This window comes from Homo sapiens, chromosome 11 (assembly GCF_000001405.40).
Source record: "Homo sapiens chromosome 11, GRCh38.p14 Primary Assembly".
Taxonomy (NCBI): domain Eukaryota; kingdom Metazoa; phylum Chordata; class Mammalia; order Primates; family Hominidae; genus Homo; species Homo sapiens.
The window spans coordinates 76212516-76235954 of NC_000011.10; the positions used below are offsets into that span (position 1 = coordinate 76212516).

The window sequence follows — 23439 nt, forward strand, 5'->3', positions numbered from 1 at the left end:
AAGTTGCTTAAATTCCCCAAGACTTAGTTTTCTCACCCACAAAATGGGAATAATACAATCCCATGGAATCCTCTACTTCTCCAAGATCAGGATTAGTATTCCCATTTCACAGATGTGGAAGCTGAGGCTCAAAAGGGAGCTGATATATGAACCCAGATCTCTGGCTCAGACTCCACTATGGCTGGTGGCTCCCAGTGAACACATGGGGGAAGGATAGTGACTTTCCATTGTCTTGTGGGGAGTTGAAGGAAACCAGCAGAACATCCCATACTCCTGAAGCTCAGCCCTGCCCCCTCCTGCCACCTGCCAGCTACTCAGCTGTGTCCTGTGGATCAGGACCCAGGCATCAGCTAGGGCTGGAAACCTGCCTGGGGAGGGGAGTAGGGGGAAGGGCTATGAGAAAGTGTTGCCAAAAGCTTGCATTGAAAATCAAGGGAGACTTGGGGTGAGGGTCTGCCCCTCCCTGCACCCAAGTCTCTCCATTTGCATAATAGGCAGTAATTGAGAAGAATTTTGTTTTCATCTTTAGAACCAACTGACCTACCCCCTTGCCGTCCCTTCTACTTCCCTCTGTCCAGTCCTCCTCAAGGGCCACTGTGTATCTGGCTTGTGCTGGCCACCTGGGCTGCAGGCTCCTCTTCAGAGGGGATGAGGCCCCATGCCCCTGGCTGCTGCTGCTGTGGACGTGGATGTGAATATATCTTTCTTCTCAATCAGCCCAGGCGATTCTGGTGATCTGATCACCCAGACATGCTGGGGGCTTCCTGTCAGCTGGCTTCTCAGCCCCTGCCTGACTGCCATTGGCCAGGGGCACACCCCTTTCCCCCCACCCCCGTCCTGTACCCACCCTGCCCAGGGAGGCACCCAGGCTGAAAGGACATGGAGGTAAGGGCGGACAAAGTTCCGTTCGCCTTGCTGACCTTGAGGGAGCCCTCTGCCCACTTCAGCTTCCTTCCCTTGAGGCCAAAACCTTGGTGGAGATGGTGGGGGGCAGTCACCTGTTTGCAGGGGCACCAGATGGGGGTGCAGGAAAACTGGTTGCAGTCCTGAGCCCCGTCACTAGTTTGCTGTGTGATGGCAGGTAGTTTTTTTGCTTTGTCTGAGCCCCAGTCGCCCATCTATAAGTGAAGGGTTGAACCTCTAAGGGCCTTTTCAGCTCTAGAACCCACACATCTTGGGGCTCCTGACCCAAGAATGCTGTGTGACCACAACCCCAGATGTCCCCCCCAATGCCTTCTCTGTCTTCCCTAAGCCCACTACCCCTACTCAGACCTCAGCACTTTATCCCTCCCACAACAACAAAGGCTTTTCCAGAGAAAGCCAAAAGCAGCCAGTAAGGAGAAGGGTCAAGATCACGCACCCTGGGCCACGACTTTGTGGTGTGTGAAGGGGGGATGTGGTGGGGCACCGCTCAGCTCACCGCTATCGCTTCACCAAGGGACTCAAAAGAGAGTGACAGCTAGGTGTGGTGGCTCACGCCTGTAATCCCAGCACTTTGAGAGGACGAGGTGGGTGGATCACTTGAGGTCAGGAGTTCAAGACCAGCCTGGCCAACATGGCGAAACCCCATCTCTACTAAAAATACAAAAATTAGCCAGGTGTGGTGGCAGGCACCTGTAATCCCAGCTGCTTGGGAGGCTGAAGCAGGAGAATCGCTTGAACCTGGGTAGCAGAGGTTGCAGTGAGCCAAGATGGTACCACTGCACTCTAGTCTGGGTGACAGAGCAAGACTCATCTCAAAAAAAAAAAAAAAAAAAAAGCGACAGTGTTTTGCTCCACTTTTGCTGTGTACAGTCTCTGTGGCATCATCCACAAGCACACGCCTCTCCCTCCCATGTCTGCGGGTTGGCTGGGGGCAGCTGGCATGGGCTGGACTCATGGGTCCCAGGCTCCTGGTTGGGTTTGGACCTGCTCCATAGATGACTCTTTCTAGCCTGGAACCAGCACTCCCTGGGCCATGCTCTTCTCACCACCAAACCAGCCTGTGCCATAGGACGAGCCATGAATGTGAATGAAGGAAGACCACAGGTACTCTCCCTCTCCCGACCCCAGGCCACCTGGCAGATGCTGGCTTCCCAGAACCATTTTTGTTTTGTTTTGTTTTGTTTTGAGACAGAGTTTCGCTCTTGTTGCCCAGGCTGGAGTGCAATGGTGCAGTCTCAGCTCACTGCAACCTCCACCTTTTGGGTTCAAGCGATTCTCATGCTTCAGCCTTCCAAGTAGCTGGGACTACAGGTGCCCACCACCACACCCGGCTAATTTTTGTATTTTTAGTAGAGACAGGGGTTTCACCATGTTGGCCAGGCTGGTCTCAAACTCCTGACCTCAGGTGATCCACCCACCTTGACCTCTCAAAGTGCTGGGATTACAGGCATGAGGCACTGCACCGGCCAGAACCATTTTTTGAGATCCCTCATCCTGGTCCTGGACACATCTCGAGGGAGGGCAGGGCAGGGCAGAGGCCGTCATCACCATTTCCCATTTCTCATTGGTTACAATGAGACTAAAGCGTACTGCTTCCACCACCAGGGTGCTTTTAGAAAGGCCTTTCTGAGAAGACACATGAACAGGGGGTCTGAGCAGAGGAACCCAGCCCAGCTGTTTCTGGCATGCCCTGTGAGGCCAGATCTTCCAGGCAAGGGTGGGGTAAGGGGACAAAATAGCAGCAGGCCTGTCATCAGAGCACCTGGGCCTGGCTGTCAGACTCACCTCCTCCACTTACCCACCGAGGGACTCCGGGGAAGTCACTCAGCCTCTGGGATCCTTAGTTTCATCATCTGCAAAACAGAAAGCCACGAAACCACTCCTTCTCGATGTTATTGAGAAATAATGTTGTAAGAAGTCATATTGGTTGAACAAGCACCTACTGTGTGCTAGGCAGTTTCTGTGCCTATGCCTGAGACAGGCATTGCTCTGCAGATAAGCACACTGGGCCAGGTCTGTCAGGTAATTCATACAAGATCTCTCTGTCAGTGAGTGGGCCTGGCTGCAAACCCCGGGTCTGTGGGTTTCTGGAACCTCTGCCCACTGCCCAGGGTAGGGTATGTCTTCCTCCTCCCCTTCAGTTACCTCAGGGGAGGTATTGTTATTTTACAGGGCTCAGGGAGCAGGCCTGGGGGCACCACGGAGAGATGGGAGGTGTCTTTCCTGGGTGCACATAACAAAATGCCACCCGTCATGTCTACTGAGGGCGTCACATCTGAAAGCCTGCTTTCAACTCTCAGTTGTTTAATCATGGTGGTGGCTGCTCAGGAGACAATGTGTGTGTTTCTCAGGCCTCTTTCAGCTCCAGGAGAGAAGAAACCCAACCCCAACCAGCTTCAACACCAGAGAAACTGGTTCCTGCAGGAGAAACTGGGGTGGCTGGTGGCCCTACTGCACTCAGGAGGGCTCAGGGCTGGTGCTGGTCCCCTGGAGATGCTGTGCTGTCTCAAACTCACTTCTCCTTCTTCCTCCTCTCTTTGAACTCACCCGGGCCTCATTTCTCCCCATTGGGATGCAGCCACCAACAGCCCCAGTTAGAAATTCCAGTCAAATGAGACCTCTGTCTCCTTGGGCCTCTGAATCAGTCCCAGGGAAGGCGGCTGATTGGCCTTGTTTGAGTCACGCACTCTCCCTCTGATGGACATCTGTTATTGCCACGGGAAACTGGCTCTGGGCATGGCTGGGTGCAGTGCCTGTCACCAGAAGAGGAGGCATAGGAAGCAGTGGGCCACAGGGGCATTTGTGTCAGGATGGCAGTTTCTTTTATGGTTGGGCCTCTGCTTCTCTGATATGTGTACAAATCAGCGTCTCTGCACCTGGGAGAAGAGAGGCGGCATTGTCTGAGTTTCACCCCATCACACGCACACACAGGGCCAGAGACCTACCATGCTCAGTGCCCCGACTGTACACATAGAGAAACTGACGCCGAGAGAGGGGTCGCACATCACTCGGTTAGTGGTGCAGGAGACAGATATCAGGTCTCCTGACATCCAGGCATAAGCCATGCAGTTATTTGTCACTGGTTCTGAAGCCTTTCTGAGCAGGCCAGTGAGGCAGCTTTTTAGTAGCACCAATTCCTCCCATCCCAGAACATAAAGACTCTTTGGAATGTGACTCCATGCAAAAGCGAAGGCTCTGTCCCCACCCCTCCATCTGGGCTGACCTCATGGCTTGCTTGACTAGTAGATGTAGCCTGTGTTCTGCTGCCCAGGACTCGGGGCCTTGCAGCTTCTGCCTTCACCCTGTTGGGGCCCAGCCCAGCTGCAAGGTCAGAAGCCCAGGCTGGGGCAGAGAGAGGCCTTGCTGTATCGGCTGGCCCATCAGTCAAATGCAGCCACGCGAGCGAGCCCAACAAGGTCAGCAGAGCTGCTGGGTCAGCCCACAGAAGCACGAGAGTCAATTATGGCTTTAAACTACTAAATCTTGACATGGTTTGTTATGTAGCAATAGAGACAAGAAGCAGCCAGGCTTAAAGAGTGAAAAAGCTAAATATATACACAATTATTTGTCTAATGTCATTTCAGAATCTTAGAATCTTACCGTTGGGCCACCCCCTCTCATAACCCCAAGGTGCTGGCCACCAGAGGCCCTGTAATGTCTCCACTGATCTGGGGCAGCATGTGGCCAGTGATAGCTCTGTCATGTGCTGCTATGTCCCCAGTACTGCACCAGGGCTGGACAAACAGTAATTGCTCCAAAGTTGCCAGGGATTGGAGCTCACTCCCTCCAGGATGGTGTCTTCCATTATGAATGGCTCTGTCTTGGAGAAGATCCTCCTCCGTCTAGAGCAGAGACCTCTGATTCCCCCAGGGGTCCTGGCTGTCTTCCTGGGGTCCCCTCTTATATAGGATAGCCTTAGGCACATCACGATGGTCCCTAGCATTACAAAGCAGCACAACCTCACTTAATAACAAGTATTTTTATGTACATGGTGTCCCCGGACACAGATATAACCCTAAGGGAAGTGCTTCCACCTGGCCCTAAAACAAGCATGGGCTCTGGATCACACAGTTTGGGGTTGCAACTCGAAAGCAACTTCTGTTTGGCCTTGGAAGAGACACTTCATGTCTCTGAGCCTCAGTTTTCTCACCTGAAAAATAGGAGGAGTGAAATTTATTGCCTGGGTTGCTGTGGGGCTTAAAGGAGAGATGATGTATGTAAAATGCTCAGCACGTAATCGGTCCTTGATAAAGGTTAGTTCCTTTTCTGCCAGGTACGTAAACAGTTCCAGATGGAGAGCTCATCTGTACTTAGCATTCATGTCTATATAAATAATGTGCAGGTGGGAGAGGAATTGTCAGGTGGCCGGGGAAGGGGGAGGGCGTTCCCAGCAGGGGAACAGTGTAAGCAAAGACAAGAAGAAGTTTGCTTTCAGAGAAGGGTAAGTGGGTGGTTCGGTGCTGCTGGCATGAAGAGCAACAGGAGGGAGAATAACGGGAGAGGAAGCCAGGCCCATGCCACGGAGGGCCTTCAGTGCTGGGCTAGGGAGCTTGGGCTTTGCCAAGAGAGACATGGAGGAGGTCTGAAGAGGGAAGGGGTAAGGTCAGGTTTGGGATTCAAGTCTGGGGCAGGTCTGGGGTTGGATGGGGAGGTGAGGGGAGATGGAGCTCCTGGAAGCCTATGAGGGGAAAGTGGGGTAGCAGCAGGAATGACTTGGGCTAGTGGAGGGGAGGGACAGCCTGGCCACTAATGCAGCAGCTGAGCCACCTGCATGGACACATCTGTTGTGGGAAGCAGGGCCCTTAGTCCTCTGGTCTAGCACCTCTGCTCTGCATCTTCAGTGCCAAGCCCTGTTGGGAAGAGCACTTTTTCTGTCCTTTTCAATCCAGGAACAGACTGTGAGAGGGAGAAGACCTGGGCTAGATCTGTAGCCAGAAGGATGCGGGGTAGACCAGAGGGGAACTGACTTACCTGTCTGTTTGGTGGGGATTCAGAGAAGTCCCTCTCAAGGTCCGTTTGCTCATTTTATTAACCATCCCAGACCTCAAGTTGAGCTTTCCAGTTTTCTAAGCCCTGCCACAGTTATGGGCAGGCTCCTTTGAGACTTGCCACTGGCTTGAGAGGGAGGCTGGGCAGAGGTGATTAGCTCTGTTGTTAAGATGGGGAGACCTAGGCCCAGAGAGGGCAAGTGACTTACCCAAGACCACACAGCAAGTGCATAGCAGAGCTACCCTGGAACCCAGTTCTCCTGCCTCCCACTAACATCCTAGTTCCTTTCCATGGCACTGAGGGACAGGCAGGACGTTCTCACTTACCTGCTCTGGGTGAAGAGTGAGGAGAGCCAGAGAGAGGTTGACAGCCATCAGCAGACAACACTTAACCCAAACTGACAATTTAATTGTGAAAATGTGGACGAGGTATAGTTATGTGCAAGGAAATCCAGACGGTCTGGGCCCCTGGGGAGCCTCGGCCAGCACCCCAGTTGCCAGGGAAACAGGAGAGGGTTGTGGATGATGTCACTAGACTCTGAGCCGAGGCTGAGGTATGGGGGTGGGCTCTCCATCCACCTCTTTGGGGCTGTAGGCTCTCATCCTCACGTTTAACCCCTTCTCTTACAGATGGGAAAACGAGAGCTCCAGGGAGAGGTGGTGACTTGCCCAAGGTCACACAGGGAATCAGTGCCTGAGCTATCCTTGTTCAGGGCGCCATGTTGATTCACCTAGCCAGGCTGCAGGCCCTTGAGGGCAGGCTGGGTCAGAGTCACCTGAGTCCTCAAGCCCAGCACAGGGCCTTGAGAAGGGCAGATGTTCAACTCTGTGTTAAGGGCTGCTCGATCCCTTTAAAAAACAGGGAGTGTGGGAGGTGACACTGTTGACTTCCTAGCAGCCTTAGATGAGCAGGAATCCTGAGCAGTCATGCGGAGCTGTCACTGGTTCAGGGATCATTGAGCTCAGAGAGGGCAGGTCACCAGGCCAGAGTCAACCAGCAGGTTGGGGCAGTGCTGGGCTGACCCTGAGTTCAGGACTCCTAGAGGTCAACTCCCCTCTCATGCCCCACAGATATGACATCTTCTATAATCCTTACCCGGGAGGAGTCATCTCTCTCACTGCCTTTCCCCATAACCCTGGTGCAGGGGTCTGGGCCTTGAGAAGCTCCCACTGTCTGAAGCATTTTCTCAGAATCCTCAGCTTCTGACTTGAAGCTAAACATCGACCCACCCAAAGCATCAATAACAATGACAATGACCACCCTTACCACAACCCCCTACTATGCACTAGGCTCTGGGCTATCACTCTATTGCCCTTATCTCAAATATTTACAACTCTATGGGCTGGGATTTTTGTTTTCACTTTGCAGTCAGGAAAAATGAGGCTCTGGGAGGTCCCTTGCCCACCTGCACACAGCCAGAAAGTGAAAAAGCTGGGTCTTGAACCCTAGGCCACTCTGCATCCAAACACCATGACTGCCTTTTCCCCTGGCTAGCGGATCATTCCCACAATGGCCTGAATGCTTATGGGAGGGGGCAGCTGAGTTTTTGCCTGCCCAACCTCTCTTTCCCTTCTAATGGTAACAACACCCCTCCCTGCCATCTCCCCACTTTATGAGGTTCTGATGGGGCTCTCAGACACAGAGCCCAGTCCCCTGATAGAAGGCCTGGCCTTGTGGAGAATTCCATCTTCCTAGCCACATAATTGGCCCAGGAAGAGTATATGACCCAACTGAACCAAATAGAGCCATTTCCCTGGGATGCATAAATGGGTTCTGGGAGAAAGGAGTCAGCCCACCTTGGAATGCAAATTCCAAAGGCGTGATTCCCAGGGCTTCCTACCCTGTATTCTCTGCCATGTGAGGAAGACAAGGAGAATGAAGAAGAAAGAGAAGAAACAGGTAGTGGGGTGGAGGTGGGGTGCCATTTGAGTCCCTGAGCACACCCTGTCCTTCCCAATTATGGTGCCAGTGAATCCATGTTTCCGTAGGATCATCAGAATAGGGTCTCTATCTACTCTCTTGCAATTAGAGCAATCCTATCTCCACCACAATGTGCTGAGTCCTGAGCTGTTGTTACAGGGGGTACAAAATTAATAAAAGTTCCTGTCCTCCAAGACTTAACAGTCTAGGCAGGGAAGAGCGGGGTGGCAATAGCTGTGGTTCCAGTCCCTGGTCTGTCTCAGACATGCTGTGTGAACCTTCCCCTCTCTGGGCTATAGTTTCCCCATCTTTAACATGGAGGCATGTTGAAGCAGGAGCAGGAGAACACTGGGCTCAGTGTTCTGCAAGATTCTCTCCAGATCCACACAAATACCTTTAAAAAAAACTTGGTATTTGCAAACTATGCATCTGACAAAGGTCTAATATCCAGAATCTATAAGAAACTCAAACTGATCAACAAGCAAAAAACAACCCCATTTAAAAATGAGCAAAAGGCTGGTCATGGTGGCTTATGCCTGTAATCCCAGCACTTTGAGAAGCCAAGGTAGGAGGTATCACTTGAGCTGAGGAGTTTGAGGCCAGCCTGGGCAACAAACTAAGGTGGTGAGACCTCATCTCAATTTTTTAAAATTAATAATTAAAAAAATTTTAATTATTAAAGTAATATTAAGTTAAAATTATTAAATAAAAATTAAAGTTAAAAAATGAGCAAAAGACATGAACAGACACTTCTTAAAAGAATATATACATGTGGCCAAAAAGCAGTGAAAAATGTTCAACATCACTAATCATTAGAGAAATGCAAAACAAAACCACAATAAGATACCATCCCATACCAGTCAGAATCGCTATTATTGAAAATCAAAAACAACAGATGCTGGTGAGATTGTGGAGAAAAGGGTATGTGTATACACTGCTGGTGAGAATGTAAACTAGTTCAGCCACTGTGGAAAGCAGTCTAGAGATGTCTCAAAAAACTTAAATAGAACTACCATTTGACCCAGCAATCCCATTACTGGTTACATACCCAGAGGAATATAAATTATTCTGCCATAAAGACACAGGCACATGTATGTTCATTGCAGCCCTATTCACAATAGCAAAGATATGGAATCAATCTAGATGCCCATCAACAGTGGACTGGATAAAGAAAATGTGGTACATATACATCATGGAATACTATGCAGCTATAAAAAATGAGATCATGGCCTTTCCAGCAACATGGATGGAACTGGAGGCCATAATCTTAAGTGAATTAATGCAAGAACAGGAAACTAAATACTGCACGTTCTCACTTTTAGGTGGCAGCTAGACATTGAGTACGTGTGGACACAAGGAAGAGAACAATAGACACGGGGGCCTGTCTGAAGGTGGATTGGGGGAGGAGGGTAAGGACTGAAAAACTACGTATCGGATATTATGCTGATTACCCGGATGACAAAATTATCTATATGCCAAACTCCCACAACATGCAATTTATCCATGTAACAAACCTGTACATGTACCCCCTTGAACCTATAAGTTGGAAAGGAAAAAAATATGAGATATAGCTTTTATACCACACATTCACCATGTTACAGTGTACTGTTCAGTGGTTTTTAGTATATTCACAAAGTTGCACAACCATCACTACTTTCTAATTTCAGGACATTTTCATCCATCACCCCAAGAATCAATCCAATACCCACTAGTAGTCACTCTTCATTCCACCCACCACTCCAGCCCCTAGAAACTGCTGATTCTTTTTGTCTCTATGGATTTTCCTATTCTGGACAGTTCAAGTTCATTTTCATGTTTATCTATGTTGTAGCATGTATCGTACTCCTTCATTTATTTGTATGGTTGGTTAATATTTTATTGTATGGATATATACATTTTGTTGACTCGTTCATCAGTTGAGGGACATTTGGGTTGTTTCTACTTTTTGGCGATTACAAATAATGCTTCTATGAACATTCACGTGCCAAGTGTTGGTATGAAATACATGCTTTCAGTTCTCTTGTGTATGTACCTAGGGATGGAATTGCTGGATCATATGGTAATTATATAACTTTAAGGGAACTGTCAAACTGTTCTCCATAGTGGCTGTACCTTTTTTTTTTTTTTTTTTTTTGAGATGGAGTTTCACTCTTGTTGCCCAGGCTGAAGTGCAATGGCGCAATCTTGGCTCACTGCAACTTCTGCCTCTTGGGTTAAAGTGATTCTCCTGCCTCAGCCTCCTGAGTAACTGGGATTATAGGCGCCTGCCACAATGCCCGGCTAAATTTTTTTGGGTTTGTTTTTGTTTTTGTTTTGAGACAGAGTCTCACTCTGTCTCCCAGGCTGGAGTGAGTGCAATGGCGCGATCTCGGCTCACTGCAACATCCAGCTCCTGGATTTGAGCGATTCTCCTACCTCAGCCTCCCGAGTAGCTGGGATTACAGGCGGCTGTCACCACGCTGGGCTAATTTTTTTTGTATTTTTAGTAGAGACTGGGTTTCACCATGTTGGCCAAGCTCATCTCAAACCCCTGACCTCACGTGATCTGCCGCCTCGGCCTCCCGAAGTGCTGGGATTACAGGCGTGAGCCACTGCACCTGGCCCAATTTTTTGTATTTTTAGTAGAGACGGGGTTTGCCATGTTGGCCAGGCTGGTCTCGAACTCCCGACCTCACATGATCCACCCGCCTCAGCCTCCCAAAGTGCTGGGATTACAGGCATGAGCCACTGCGCCCAGCTGTGGCTGTCCTATTTTACATTATGAGAGTTCCAGTTTTTCCGCATTCTTGACAACACTTGTTAATTTGGTATTTTTTATTATAACCATCCTGGTAAGTGTGAATAGCATATCGTATGGTGGTTTTGATTTGCATTTCCCCAGTGACTAATGATGTGGAGTATCTTTTTATGTGCTTATTGGCTATTTGTATATCTTCTTTGGAGAAATACCTGTTCAAATATTTTGCCCACTTAAAAAATTAAATTATTTGTCCTTTTCTTGCTGAGTTGCAAAGAGTTCTTTATGTATTCCGGTTACTAGAATACTAGACCCATACCAGACACTTCATGTGCAAGTATTTCCTCCCATTCTGTGGGTTGTTCTTTCACTTTCTTGATAATATCCTTTGAAACACAACGTTTTTAATTTTGATGAAGTTCGGTTTCTCTATTTTTTCATTTGGTTGCTTGTGCTTTTGGCACCATATAGAAAAAACTATTGTCTACTTCAAGGTCACAAGGATTTACATCTATGTTTTCTCGTAAGGATTTTCTAGTTTTAGCTGGAACAGCATCATTTGTTAAAAAAAAAAAAAACAAAACTATCATTTCTCCATTGAATGTCTGGGCACTCTTGTCAAAAATCAATTGACCAGGCTAGGCCTGGTGGCTCATGTCTATAATCCCAGCAATTTGGGAGGCCAAGATGAGAAGATCGCTTGAGATTAGGGGGTCTGAAACCAGCCTGGGCAACATAGTGAGACCCCTGTCTCTACAAAATTAAAAAAAAGAAAATTAGCTGAACTTGGTGGTGTGCACCTGTGGTTCCAGCTACTAGGGAGGCTGAGGCGGGAGGATCACTTGAGCCCAGGAGATTGAGGCTGCAGTGAGCAGTGATCATGCTACTGCATCCAGCCTGGGCAACAGAACAAGACCCTGCTTCTTTAAAGAAAAACAAAAGTCAATTGGCCATAGATGTATGGGTTTATTGACACAATTACTTGTTAAGTGATATTTAGGAAGTAAGCTACAGTAGGGTCCATGTAGTCACACCATGTAAGGGGTGTGGCAGAGGGAAGAGGATGAATGAGACATTTGGAGTCCTGCAGACCTTTGTTTCCATTCCAGATCCACTGTAACCCAGGCAACCTGTTTCATTTTGCCTTTTAAGAAGTGACACAATATATCACACAGAACACATTCTCATAAAAAAACACCAACATCAGAATGTCCCTGAGGCTCAGTTTCCTCCTCTGTCATGTCTAAGCCCCAGAGCTGATGTGAGGCCTAGGGTTGGGGGTGGGGGACAGCGGGGAGAAGAAGGGTATTCCAGATGGGGTCAAGGGCACTGGTAAGAGCTGGAGGCTGGAAAGTGCAGGGATGTGACATGGGGACAAAGTGAGGAGCCTGCAGGCCAGGGGTGGTGTTGACAGGTTGCCTCTCCTGTCCTGCATTTGGTGAAAAAACAAGACTCTGGAACCTGAGTCACAGCTCAGAAGACACCTCCCACGTCCCCCTGGAGAGCCTCATAGTACAGAGGCCAGCCAGATCCTCCAGGTACGAGCCTCCCTCACCCCTGCGGCGGGGTGGCCGGGAGCATGCTGCAGGGACGCTGTTGGCTGCGTCAAGTCTGGGGCCGGGAGGTAGTTGGGGGCTAGCTGGGGGCTTTTGTTTCTTGTTTTGTGTGTGAGTAAGTGAGATGAGCAGGTCAAGGAGAAGACAGTGCCTGAGGAAGGTAAGAGGAAGCCCATTTATTGGGCACCTCCTGTTTGCCAAAAGGCACTTTGTGGACTTCATCTCAGCTTCCAATCACCCAGAGAAACAGGAGTTATGAGGTTCATCCCCATTCCACAGGACAGGAGACTGAGTCAGAAGGGAGGACACATTTGCCCAAGCTCACACAGCCAGCAGGTGACAGGGCTGGGATTTGAACCCAGTTCCATCCGTCCTGAAGCACATGCTCTTCTATAATGACTAGTTACCCTAGAGAAGAGCGAGAAAGAGGAGTGGGGTGAGATACAGGGAGGCCCAGCAGAGGGACAGTCACACAGAGGACAATCAAGAGAGGCAGAAATGAAAAACAAGAGTTGAAAGAGCGTGAGGCCCTGGCCCGGCTGAGGCCTGGAGCAGGTCCTCAGGGAGCAGCTGAGGGCGGGGACGGCCGGAAACCGGCTCACCAAACCTGGAGCCAAGAACCATGCTTGGCCTGAGACATGGTGGAAAAGCTCTCACCTCAAGATACTGGTGGGGGAAACTGGCATGGGGGGAGCAGGGTCTGCCTGGGAACAGGACCGCGGGGTCGGATGGCCAGGAACTGCCAAGCAGGCCCATCATCTGGCTCAAGTAACTGCTGCGGCCGCCGGGCTGGCAGGCCCTCGCTGCTGGCCGTGCAGAGAGGCAAGTCCAGAGGCCAGGACGCAGGCAGCGATGACCAGGCCTTCCTGGAATGAGGGTTGTTCTTAGGACAAACCCTGTCACATGGCCTGCAAGTAGGGTGGCTGTATAGTTTACTGTTTCATCTGGGACACGTAAAAGTGTGAGGGGACAACAGGCGTACACGGGTATTTATGGGCCTAACTTCTGCAGCCCTGCTTGGCCAGGCCTGGCTTGTTTCTGGGGCAGCCTCCCAGGCTCTCTGCCCTCCACCTTCACTGCCAGGCCTCAGCCAACCCTTGGGGCCTCCCATTATCTGGAATACCTGTCTGTGTCATCTCCACACCTCTCCATACCCCTTCATCATTCCTATAACACCCTCAAAGCTCCTCCGGCAGGGCCAGTGTTCTCTCAAGCTATTCAAGACACTGTGAGCTTTCCCTTCGTGGCACTGATCACGATAATGAAATAAATTCTTAATTGTGTGCTTGATTGTTTCAAAGTCGGCCTCCCTCCTTAAGGGCAGACTGGGTCTGGCTTGTCCACTGCTGCATCCTGCACACCCAGCCCAAAGGCCCCGAAGCACACATGAATAAACCAACCCCCAGGCCCCATGCACGGCCACAGAGGTGTGTGCCCACCCTGGGAATTGTTTTTTTTTTTTTTTTTTTTTTTGAGATGGAGTCTTACTCTGTTGCCCAGGCTGGAGTGCAGTGGCATGATCTCGGCTCACTGCCACCTCTGCCGCCCCAGTTCAAGCGATTCTCCTGCCTCAGCCTCCCAAGTAGCTGGGATTACAGGTGCCTACCACCACGCCCGACTAATTTTTGTATTTTTAGTAGAGACAGCGTTTCGCCATGTTGGCCAGGCTGGTCTCAAACTCCTGACCTCAGGTGATCTGCCCGCCTTGGCCTCCCAAAGTGCTGGGATTATAAGTGTGAGCCACCGTGCCCTGCCCGCTCTGGTATTTTTGTTTTGTTTTCCTATACAAGGAAAGGAAAGGAAGGAGCTAGTCCTAAAAAAACAAAAAAACCTCTTGGGCACAATTCATACTTCTGATTTCTTCTACAGACACTGAGCCCCTTCAGGGAGGGACTGTACCCCCTTCTCTTCCCCAGTCTAGCTGTGGACCTGAATCAAGCTTAGGCTGAGCTCGATGAGTGACTACAATGTTGAATATCACCATGGTGGTCACAGAAAGTCAGAACAGGAAGGAATCCTAGAGATCATGAGATATGCAAGTGCTGAATCCAGACCCTGGGGTGTTGTAGGCACACAAAAAATTCATGTTCCTCCCTTTAGAGGTCATCTTGTTCAACCACCATCTTTTTCTTTAAAAATTTTTAAGTGTACAAGTTCACTTTAGCGTATTCATGAAGTTGTGCAATCATCTTACTACCCAATCCCAGAACACTGTCATCATCGCATAAGAAACCACATTACCTAGTAGCAGTCATGTCCCCCTGTCCCCTTCCCTCAGCCCCTGGCAACCACCAATTATCCTATTTTAAAAACAGAGAAACTGAGGCCCAGGGAGGGGCAGTGCCTTATTAATGTCACATCGCCAATGGCAGAGCCAGGCTAGAGACCAGGCCTCCTGATGTCCCACCTGCTACAGTCAGGCCACAGGTCTGAGTTCTCTCTGGCACCCTCAGCATACTCTGGGGCCTGACATGTAAGAGGGGGCGGTCAAAGGCCTCTCCCGGGGAAGAAGTGACCGTACCATCTGTAACTGTGCCCTTAAAGTCCAGAGCGTGCCGTTCCCAGAATGGAGCCGAGGGTTGTGAGAAGCAGGAGACACATGGAGGGAACACTTACACTCTGTGCCCTGCTTCTACGAAGCCAGAGTCCTTCCAGGGCTGGGAACACCCTTCCCCCAGATGACCCCGGGCTTCCTCCTCACCTCTCCAGTGTCCTCTCAAGGGCCCCCTTCTCAGTGAGGCCTGCCCTGACCACCCTATTTAAAACTGCCAACAGACTGGGCGCAGAGGCTCATGCCTGTAATTCCAGCACTTTGGGAGGCCTAGATAGGAGGATTGCTTGAGCCCAGAAGGTTGAGGCTGCCGTGAGCCATGATTGCAGCACTGCACCCTAGCTCGGGTGACAGACAGAGATCCTGTCTCCAAAAACAAAACAAAACAAAAACCCCCAAATCCCAAAAAACAAAAATCATTGCAAATAGACCCTGTGCCTCCCCACTGGCACTCTCTATCCCCCTGCCCCCACCCATGGTGTTTTCCTCCATAGTGCATCCTGCATCCTTTCCTTCTTTACCTGGTGATTGTCTGTCTTCCCCACCATGGCAGCTCCATGCAGGCAGGGGTTTTGACTGCTTTGCTTTCTGCTCTACCCCAGCTCCTAGAATACTGCCTGCTATATAGAAGGTGTTTTGTAAACACTGGATGAATGAATGAATGAATGGATCGATGGGATGGCTATCATTGCATTTGATTCTTACCAGCAATGATCAGGGGAATGGCTATTATGCCTGTTTTTTAGATGGCAAGATGAGGTCCATCTGGGAACTAGAGGCAGGCTATGGTCTTCCTTGACCTTGGTCCTGTCAGGGGAGCCTGGAGCGAGAGCAATGTGGGCATGAGGAAGCAGGGGCTAGGCTTCCAGTTTCTGCCATTGATTTTAGGGCCCAGAAACCAGAGCTAGTTTCAGAATCCAGCCTTTACTTCTTCCTGAAGTAATTCAGCAGCTTTCACTTTCCATGCCTTAGCCAAAATGGAAAAAGAAAGAAAGAAAAAAGGCAGTGCTATTTTTTCAAATGGACTTAGCTCTTTGAGCTCCAACGTGGAAAGTGCTGTCCATGATGTCACGGGCCCCGAGGCCTCTGGGCAGCGTTACTGACACTTTATAAGGCAGGCTGGGCACAGGGTCCACACTCCTGTTTCTAGAGCTCTGTAAGCACCAGGGGCAGATGGTGCCTCCATCGACAAGCCTGGGCCCAGATCTCCAGAGCCAGGATGGAGCCAGGCACTGGGCAGGCAGGGGGCAGACTGATAGCCCAGTGGAGCACCTTGCTCTGTTGTCCAAAGGTCTTCGACGTCCACCACTCGCAGGGTCTGAGGAAGACCACAGGGCGAGTAGACACAGGTCTGTGTCTTTCCGTGGGGAGCAGAGGGTCAGAGTAGTGCGGTGCCCTGCCCATGGTCACATACACGGTCCGGGAGTGATGGACTTTGCCTTGAACGCTGTCCTCTGATTCTAAATTCTATGATCTGCTAAAGAGGAGAAGGCATGGCTCTTGCCCAAGAGAAGCTGTCAGTCTGAGAATGGCTGTGAGGAAGCCACTTGATCAAGTCTAAGTCTTCGTTTTACAGTTGAAAACACCCAGGCTCAGAGAGGGGCAGGGACTGGTCCAAGGTCACACAGCCAATCCACAGCCCAGACAGGGCTGGATGCAGTCTCTAGATTCCTGGCTGGGAGTATTTTCTACAATAGCCTGCACTTAAACGGTTCCATTTGGCGGAAGCTCTGCTGTTCTGGAAGAGACGCCAGGCCTTTCCAGAATCCGGTCTAAGGCTGTCTTAAAGGATCTGCTGTCAAGGCGTACTCCTTAGGGAGCAGGTGTTGGCAAAGGGAGGAGAGATATTGATCATGTCTGGGATTGCAGGGGGTGTGGTTTGGGGAGGTGGGGGAGATGGGGAAGAGCAGTGGAAGTTTCTCTGAAAAACCAAAAGCACACTTATTTTGACTTTGACTTTTGCTTATCTGTATAATTATTCTATGGTTATATAATTAATATTTCATATTTGAAAGGGATAAACTGTTTAATGAGGCAGGGTCTGGGCATCCAGGATTGTCTCAGCTCTGACAGACTGAGTGAATTTGATGAGATACCCCCGTCTCTCCGGGCCTTTCTTAGAAATGCCGGTAATAATGTTGCCCTGTGAGAGGTAAATGAATCACAGGCCTCCCTGGCTCAGGAAACAGCCGCCCAGCATTTTCATGATGTTAACCTGTCTAATGAAAGAACGCAGCAACCAAGCCATGAGGTCCCGAGAAAAGCCAAGGTTCAGAGAAGCCCACTGTGGCTGTGTGTAGGTCCAGTGCTATCTGGAAGGTCAGGGAGATTGACTGAGAGCCATGCCTGTCCCAGTCCCCACAGAGAGCCCCCTGCATGGGTGGAGATCATTCTTCAGGCTTCACCAAGGTCTGCATGAAGCAACTCTCGACTAGCATTCCTCGCCCCTTTGCTCAGATCCCAGAGCCCTGGCTCCCAGGAGGGAAGGAGACTGAGGAGGGGACAAGAGCATTCCTGTCAGTAGAAAGGCAGAGTGCCCAGTGTCAGTGATAAGTGTTGTGAGGAGGCATCATCTTGAGTGACATGGTTAGGGCCAGCCTGTCAGACCTTTCTAGGTGTCTGGAGAAAGGTCAATGTCAGGAGCTGCCAGGTGAGGGCCGGACTCCAGGCTGAGACCTGCCGCCCAGTGAAAGGGCTAAATTATTTCAATAGATGTGCAGTGCTTGGCACAGCGCCTGGCATAAAAGCAGTGGACAATAAAAACTGCTCAGTGAAAGTTAGCTGTGCCCTAAATGGACAGCAGGGTGGAGGTGTGAGTGCAGATAGGGAGAAGGACTCCATCCTGGCCCATCCGCCCGGCGGGCCCCTGTCTTTGGAAGGCAGGCTCGGCTTGCACCCACTCTTACCTCGGACCCACACCACCATCTCTGTCACTCATGGGCACTGAGGGAGCACCTAGCTTCCTGTTCTGAGCTGTGGTGTCACTTTCTGATCTTCCTCTGATCTCCAGGCCTGAGGAAGGGGTCATGGCTTCCCACCCCTGAATTATCCCCTGCTCCCGCCACCCATCCCTCACTTCCCACCAGCACTGGGCTGGACCTCAAAGGCCAGGAATTAGAGGTCGGGCTGGAACCCCTGAATGTCAGGGCTGGAAGGCCTCCAGTGAGTGCCTTGCTTGCCCCTCCTCCAGGGATGTACATGTCGGGGAACTGAGGCCCAAAAAGGAAGCTGCCCCTTTGCACAGCCAGTGAGTCTGTGGCTGTTTCTCCAGCCTCCCCTGCTCTCTGGGGGTCCCCAGAGCCTCTGGGAGACCATACGTCCCCCCAGCCCCTCATGGCCACACCTCACCTGGTCTTCGTTTGCTCTGTGACTCTGTCTGGGGTAATTCTCGCCAAGCAGGGTCAGCCCCTGGGGAGCAGGCCGCTAATGAGCTTCAGATGCCGGGGCCAGACTCGGTCTTGCAGCAGGCAGAAGCTCAGATGCTTTGGCTGATTTAGGATGCCTGGCCAGTGGGGATGGCTCGGAGAGGACACCTCCCCTCCCTTCACAGGTTACCCCACTCCTGACTTGCACTGGGCACAGCAGGTGCCAGTGTTTAACCCCCAAACCCCAGCCAGGGCAGTTGTTTCAAGATCCGGAAAAGGACAGACAAGCTGGAGGACAGATGCATTTCCATCACTTGGGAACTTAGTTCTTCTTCTCCCAGGACTTTTCTGGGTCCTGAGCTGGTGTTTCTACCAAGGTAGCAGCAGGAAGGGGGAAGAGAGAGGGACAAGCTGCTTTCTGATAGCCAATCACGCACACTCTGGGCTGGGTACAAATGTCATCTTCTCCAACCCTCACAGGAACCCCACAAAGTTCCTGAGGTGAGGACTGTCACCAAGCACTTCACAGGAGGAAACAGAGGCTCAGAGAGGGGAGATGATTTGCTCAAGGTTACACAGCCCCTGAGTGGCCAAACTAGGGTTCCAGCCCACCTCTGTCAGAGCCCACACTCCACCTGCAACATGCTGGGATGTTTCTAGAAGACCAGAATGGTATATATTGTGATCTCCAAGCTTTGTGAATGGTGAGGGCCTGTGGCCACATGGGTTTCAGACACTCAGGCTGCCTCTGCAGCTGACTTACTCCCTGATCTTGACAAGGCAGCAGATTTCACATCTACAAAATGGGGATCATCATCACAAGTTCAGGTGAGGTAATGCTAACTGTCATCATCACATTCTCAGCCATGCCCAGAACACATTCTGGGAGCCAGACTCACTGCCAGAGGCTTTTTGTCGGGGAGCTTTAAAAAGCGTGGATGCCAAAGCTCTGCTACCTACTAGCTGTGTGACCCTGGCCAAGTTACTGTGCCTCTCTGTGCCTGCATTTCCTCATCTGAGGAAATAAATGAGGATAATATTAGTTCCTATCTCAGAGTTGGTGTAGAGTTAGGTGCGTTATAAAGGGATTAGAAGGATGCCTGGCACAGGGGGTGCATCTAGCACGTGTGTTAGCTAACACTGGGCTCGACCTTGTGAGACACGTGTTGTTTTTCCCAAAGTAGCAATGTGGAAACTGAGGTCATGCAGCACAGTGATTCTCCAACTGAGTGTGCAGAGTCACATGGAGAGTTTGTTAAAATCCTAAGGGCTGGGCCCACTGGAGCATTAAGTCTGGGTTGGGGCCTGAGAATGTGCATTTCTAGCATGTTCCAGGTCACGCTGAAGCTGCTGGTGTGGGGCCCACACTCGGAGACCCACTGCTGTGGTGGGCCTGGGTATGGCTCCTGGTATGCGGGGGCCAGCTAGTTCCATACATGATCCGGTGAGTGAGCAGGTGAGTGAATGCACGGAGCAGAAAGGATGTTGGACTCTAGTGATCCTTCATGGCTCTCTCTCTCCTCTCTCAGCCCCGAGGGTTGTGGCTCATCCCCTTCACATCTTCTCTGAACCTGAATTGGGAAGATCCCCACCACACTGTCCCCCACACCCCATGGCAGAGGGCAGCGTGCTTGCTGTGGCCACAGGCTGCATAAAGGGGCCTGTGTGCTGGCTGCTCACCTCCCACTGTGCGCCCAGTGGTTTTCTATTTCAGTTGCTGTAAAAATATCACCTTTGATCTCAGCCTGTGGCTCTTAAGAAAAAAAGAAGAAACCACCAACAGGCTGGGTTTTCATTCTCCCCTGGCCCCGCCCTGCTCTCACCTCAGCTCCCAGCTCTCTCCCCTCCTTCCATTCCACCCCATTCACCCTCTCCTCTCTGCATCACAGCCCCCTGGACCCGGGGCACCTTGGGAACCCGTGGGCCCTTCTCTCTCTATGTGTCACCCCTTGCCCCCGCGCGGGGCTGCCTGCAGGAAGAACAGTATAAATAAGGGTGTGTGTAGAGGAAGACCACCCTCTCCCCTCCTCCCTGTCTCCCTGCCCCTTCCCCTCTGCTCCAAGTTCCCCTGCTTGGCCAGGTCCAGGCCTCTTCTCCAGCACTGTCAAGCACGTGGTATCCATCATAACCCTGCATCTGTGGAGGCTTGGGTCCTCCCAGAGTGGAAAGAGAAGAGCGAGGGGCCTAAATATTTAGATCACACCATCTACTCAGGGACCCCTCAGCCGCTCAGAGATGCCTGGAGGAGTGGTCTTCAGGCCTGATGGTTCCAATATCCCACCTCCTGGCTCAGCAGGCAGACAGACAACCCCCTCTCCTTGACCCCAAGCCCCCCACACGCCCCCCAACACACACACCCCTTTCCTTTCAGCAAACTCTGGGGAGAGGCACATGCAGCCCTCCTGCCCCCCTAGGGTGGTCCTGCATACTCTGGCCTCTGTGCCCTGACATTCTTTTTTTTTTTTTTTTGAGGCAGGGTCTCACTCTGTCACCCAGGCTGGCTGGAGTGCAGTGGCGCGATCTCCGCCTCCCAGGTTCAAACGATTCTCATGCCTCAGCCTCCCAAGTAGCTGGGATTAAAGGCATGCCATCACACCTGGCTAATTTTGTAGTTTTAGTAGAGATGGGGTTTCGCCATGTTGGCCAGGCTGGTCTCAAACTCCTGACCTCAAGTGATCTGCCCGCCTTGGCGTGAGCCACCCCGTGCCCTGCCTCCCTGACATTCTTGAGCCTACTTGCTCCACGCAGGCCTCTTAGCCAGAACTTTTCTGGTTGGAAAGTCACCTTCTCACCTACTGGAGCCCTTCCTGCCCTGCTACCCCACTGGCTAGTGAGGTCATCTCCAAGGGTCCCAGCTCTGGCAGAGGGACCAAAGAATCCCACCACCTCCCTAAGAAGTTTCTTGGCTGACAGGCATTTTGTGCCAATGGAGGGGGCAAGCAAGCCTTGAACCTCTGACTCACGCCAGGCTTTGAGCTGTTACGGTGTCTTTTTTTGGCTTTGGGTTTTACAGAAAGACAAAGTACCACTCATTCAACAAACGCTTTACAGGTCATCTGCATTGGGCCCTGTGCTGACATGGCCACTCCTCAGGGAACCCTCCCTCACACTCTTGTGGGTAGAGACACAGATGTGTGCAGGGGTCAGGCATCCAGGCAACAGGGAGTGCAGGGGCTGGGGGCACTTGGAGAGGTGTCTGCCTGGAGGTGGAGGTGGTGGTGCAGAAACCGCAAGGCCTGGAATGTGCAGGAAGCTGGGGGCAGCCCCAGCTGGAATGAGCAGCTTCCACTGGAGCCATGGCTGGAGTGTTCACGGAGTGAGGAGGGCCTGAAGAGAGGTGAGTGGGGAGGGGTCAGGCCTCAGAAAGCCCAGGTGGCAGGTAAAGAGCTCAGCCATTGCTCCCAGGGTGGAGCCACCGCAGGGTTTGAAGAGACTGTGGGTGTGGGACTGTCCATGGGGAAGGCCTGTCTGGAGGCACAGAAGGCCCGGGCAGAGGATGTAAGGTCCTGGGTGTGTGTCCAGGCCATAGCCTCATTTAGCAGTAACCACAGTCCGCCAGGGCCCAGACTGAGCTCCTTGCAGACCAGTCCACAGCCTTGGGCTAGGCAGAGGGTGCAGCCAGTGTGGCAACCACTGGGCAGGGGGTTCAGGAGGCAGGGTTGACTCATCAGTGTCCCCAGGGCCCAGCCCGGGGGTGGGGCAGAGCAGGCGCCAGTGGAAGTGTGTTGTGGAGTGAAAGAAGCTTTACAAAGGCTTCCAGCGACTGACTGAAGGTATTTCTTCCTGCCCGCACATCCTCAGACCTGGGAATAAGGAAACGTGAGGCTCCAGCCAGCTCCTGAAGGCGCAGGACATAGCTGAAAGGAGTTTGGAAAAGGGCCACTGGGCAAAAGTCCTTCCAGGGCGTCACAGTCTCAGTTTCCTCATCTTGAAGTCAGGGTGTGTGGGGGGTGGAAAGGGGTGGGGAGGGAGAGAGAGCGCAACGGAAATTGGCTGGACTGATCTGCACCGCTGGCTCTGCACTGCTAGTAGCCTTGTGATGGAGGCCAGCACAGCCACTACCTTCCGCTCTCCTACGGGGGACAGGGCGCGGTGGTGGGGAGCTCCCAATTCTCTCTGGCAGGCAAGAAGGCAGACCTTGTGACCCCGTTTTCACCAGGGGGGCATGCTGAACACATTGGCTACGTGTCCCAAGGACACTGAGTCACGAGGTGGAAGAGCTCCATGGAACCCGTTTCTCGGAGTGGGTCTGGCACCCCTGTTCCCCACAGAGGCTTCTCGGGGAGCCTAGAACCCATGGACCGTGGACGCAGAGGCGAAGCACGGGAAACCGTGCCAGGCGCCCCACGTGCTGGGAGGCCCATTCGGTGAACCAGAGTCGGTGGGTTCCGCCCAGGATTCGGTAGCTAAACCGAGAAACTGCACATCTGACCCAGCCCTGACCGAAATGTCAGGCCAAAGCCTCACAATGTCAGTTACCCTCCCACAAAGCTAGACATCCAGGAACCCCAAGACCCAGGCTGCGCAGTCATGATGACGATGATGATGATGTGATGTTTGGAACGCGGGCGCGTTAGGGAGCTCCACACATGGTTCAGAGAGAATTCTCCTGCCCAGGATCCCAGCCCGCCGCCCCCAGCCCCTGGTCTGCAGTTCTGCGCGTCCCGCCCCAGCTCCCAGGTCCAGTGTAAACTCGTGGTCCCTGCATCTGCAGAAAGGCACATTTCCCCTCTGCAGCGCGGACTGATTGCGTTCTCGCTGCGTCCAGATCCAGGGCTCGCCGGCGACAGAGCCAGTCTCGGGGTCCCACTGTGCGGATACCGGATTGGTAATCCGAGGCGAGCCCTAAGCGCACACGCCATTGGTGGGTCCTGTGCGGCCGGGACGGGAAGGCGCAGGCTCTAGGGTGCCTCCTATTCTACTTACAAAGCGAAACGAAAACTCTTACGAGCGACGGCTCGTTGGTCTAGGGGTATGATTCTCGCTTAGGGTGCGAGAGGTCCCGGGTTCAAATCCCGGACGAGCCCTCATTTTCTTTCCCTTCCTTTTTCCGCATCTCCTTCCTTTTCCTGCATCTCCGTTCTCTAAATACAGAACTTATCGAGCTGGAAGAATTCTTTAGATAGCAGCCAGGGTGCAAAAACCGCTTGCTCGTTTTCAATCGACGATCCGACCTCTTCGAATGTGCCAGGTCCCATTTCGTGTTCATTACGACTGTAGAACGCCAAGTTACGCGTGCTAAACAGTTAAAAAAATTAAGAAAAGAGGGGCTCGTCCGGGATTTGAACCCGGGACCTCTCGGACCCAAACCGAGAATCATACCCCTAGACCAACGAGCCATCTGCTGAGCAAGGTCTCCTCGAATTTACTAGAGGCGATGACAGCGGCAAGCGTGTG

The 23439-nt window shown here is 51.8% G+C and overlaps 1 long non-coding RNA gene and 2 other non-coding genes across 3 annotated transcripts in view, besides 5 other annotated features; 1 reads left to right on the top strand and 2 right to left on the bottom strand.

Moving 5' to 3' along the window:
• The window catches only part of LINC02761 (long intergenic non-protein coding RNA 2761), a 5135-nt gene extending 1560 nt beyond the window's left edge, over nt 1-3575 (bottom strand). Inside the window, exons 1-2 of the long non-coding RNA XR_007062785.1 lie at nt 3472-3575; nt 2710-2777 (exon numbers count right to left, since the gene is read on the bottom strand). This is a non-coding gene — a long non-coding RNA (long intergenic non-protein coding RNA 2761). The remainder of the gene's footprint in view (nt 1-2709; nt 2778-3471) is intronic.
• Nucleotides 11917-12124: a transcriptional cis regulatory region, noted in NCBI's record as "candidate enhancer chr11.4413 targeted for multiplex CRISPR interference". NCBI's record gives its function as "positively regulates TSKU gene expression in K562 cells {active_cell/tissue: K562}" and the evidence as "EXISTENCE:mutant phenotype evidence [ECO:0000015][PMID:30612741]".
• Nucleotides 17536-18037: an enhancer, noted in NCBI's record as "H3K4me1 hESC enhancer chr11:75941095-75941596 (GRCh37/hg19 assembly coordinates)". NCBI's record gives its function as "activates a minimal SCP1, AML or CMV promoter by ChIP-STARR-seq in primed H9 embryonic stem cells {active_cell/tissue: H9 hESC(primed)}" and the evidence as "EXISTENCE:reporter gene assay evidence [ECO:0000049][PMID:30033119]".
• Nucleotides 20877-21423: an enhancer, noted in NCBI's record as "H3K4me1 hESC enhancer chr11:75944436-75944982 (GRCh37/hg19 assembly coordinates)". NCBI's record gives its function as "activates a minimal SCP1, AML or CMV promoter by ChIP-STARR-seq in naive H9 embryonic stem cells {active_cell/tissue: H9 hESC(naive)}" and the evidence as "EXISTENCE:reporter gene assay evidence [ECO:0000049][PMID:30033119]".
• Nucleotides 21971-22517: an enhancer, noted in NCBI's record as "NANOG-H3K27ac-H3K4me1 hESC enhancer chr11:75945530-75946076 (GRCh37/hg19 assembly coordinates)". NCBI's record gives its function as "activates a minimal SCP1, AML or CMV promoter by ChIP-STARR-seq in primed H9 embryonic stem cells {active_cell/tissue: H9 hESC(primed)}" and the evidence as "EXISTENCE:reporter gene assay evidence [ECO:0000049][PMID:30033119]".
• Nucleotides 22518-23063: an enhancer, noted in NCBI's record as "NANOG-H3K27ac-H3K4me1 hESC enhancer chr11:75946077-75946622 (GRCh37/hg19 assembly coordinates)". NCBI's record gives its function as "activates a minimal SCP1, AML or CMV promoter by ChIP-STARR-seq in naive and primed H9 embryonic stem cells {active_cell/tissue: H9 hESC(naive and primed)}" and the evidence as "EXISTENCE:reporter gene assay evidence [ECO:0000049][PMID:30033119]".
• TRP-AGG2-4 (tRNA-Pro (anticodon AGG) 2-4) lies at nt 22998-23069 on the top strand. Its single transcript has one exon. It is a non-coding gene; the product is annotated as a tRNA-Pro (tRNA).
• Nucleotides 23310-23381, bottom strand: TRP-TGG2-1 (tRNA-Pro (anticodon TGG) 2-1). Its single transcript has one exon. It is a non-coding gene; the product is annotated as a tRNA-Pro (tRNA).
• Nucleotides 23382-23439: the final 58 nt, after the last annotated feature.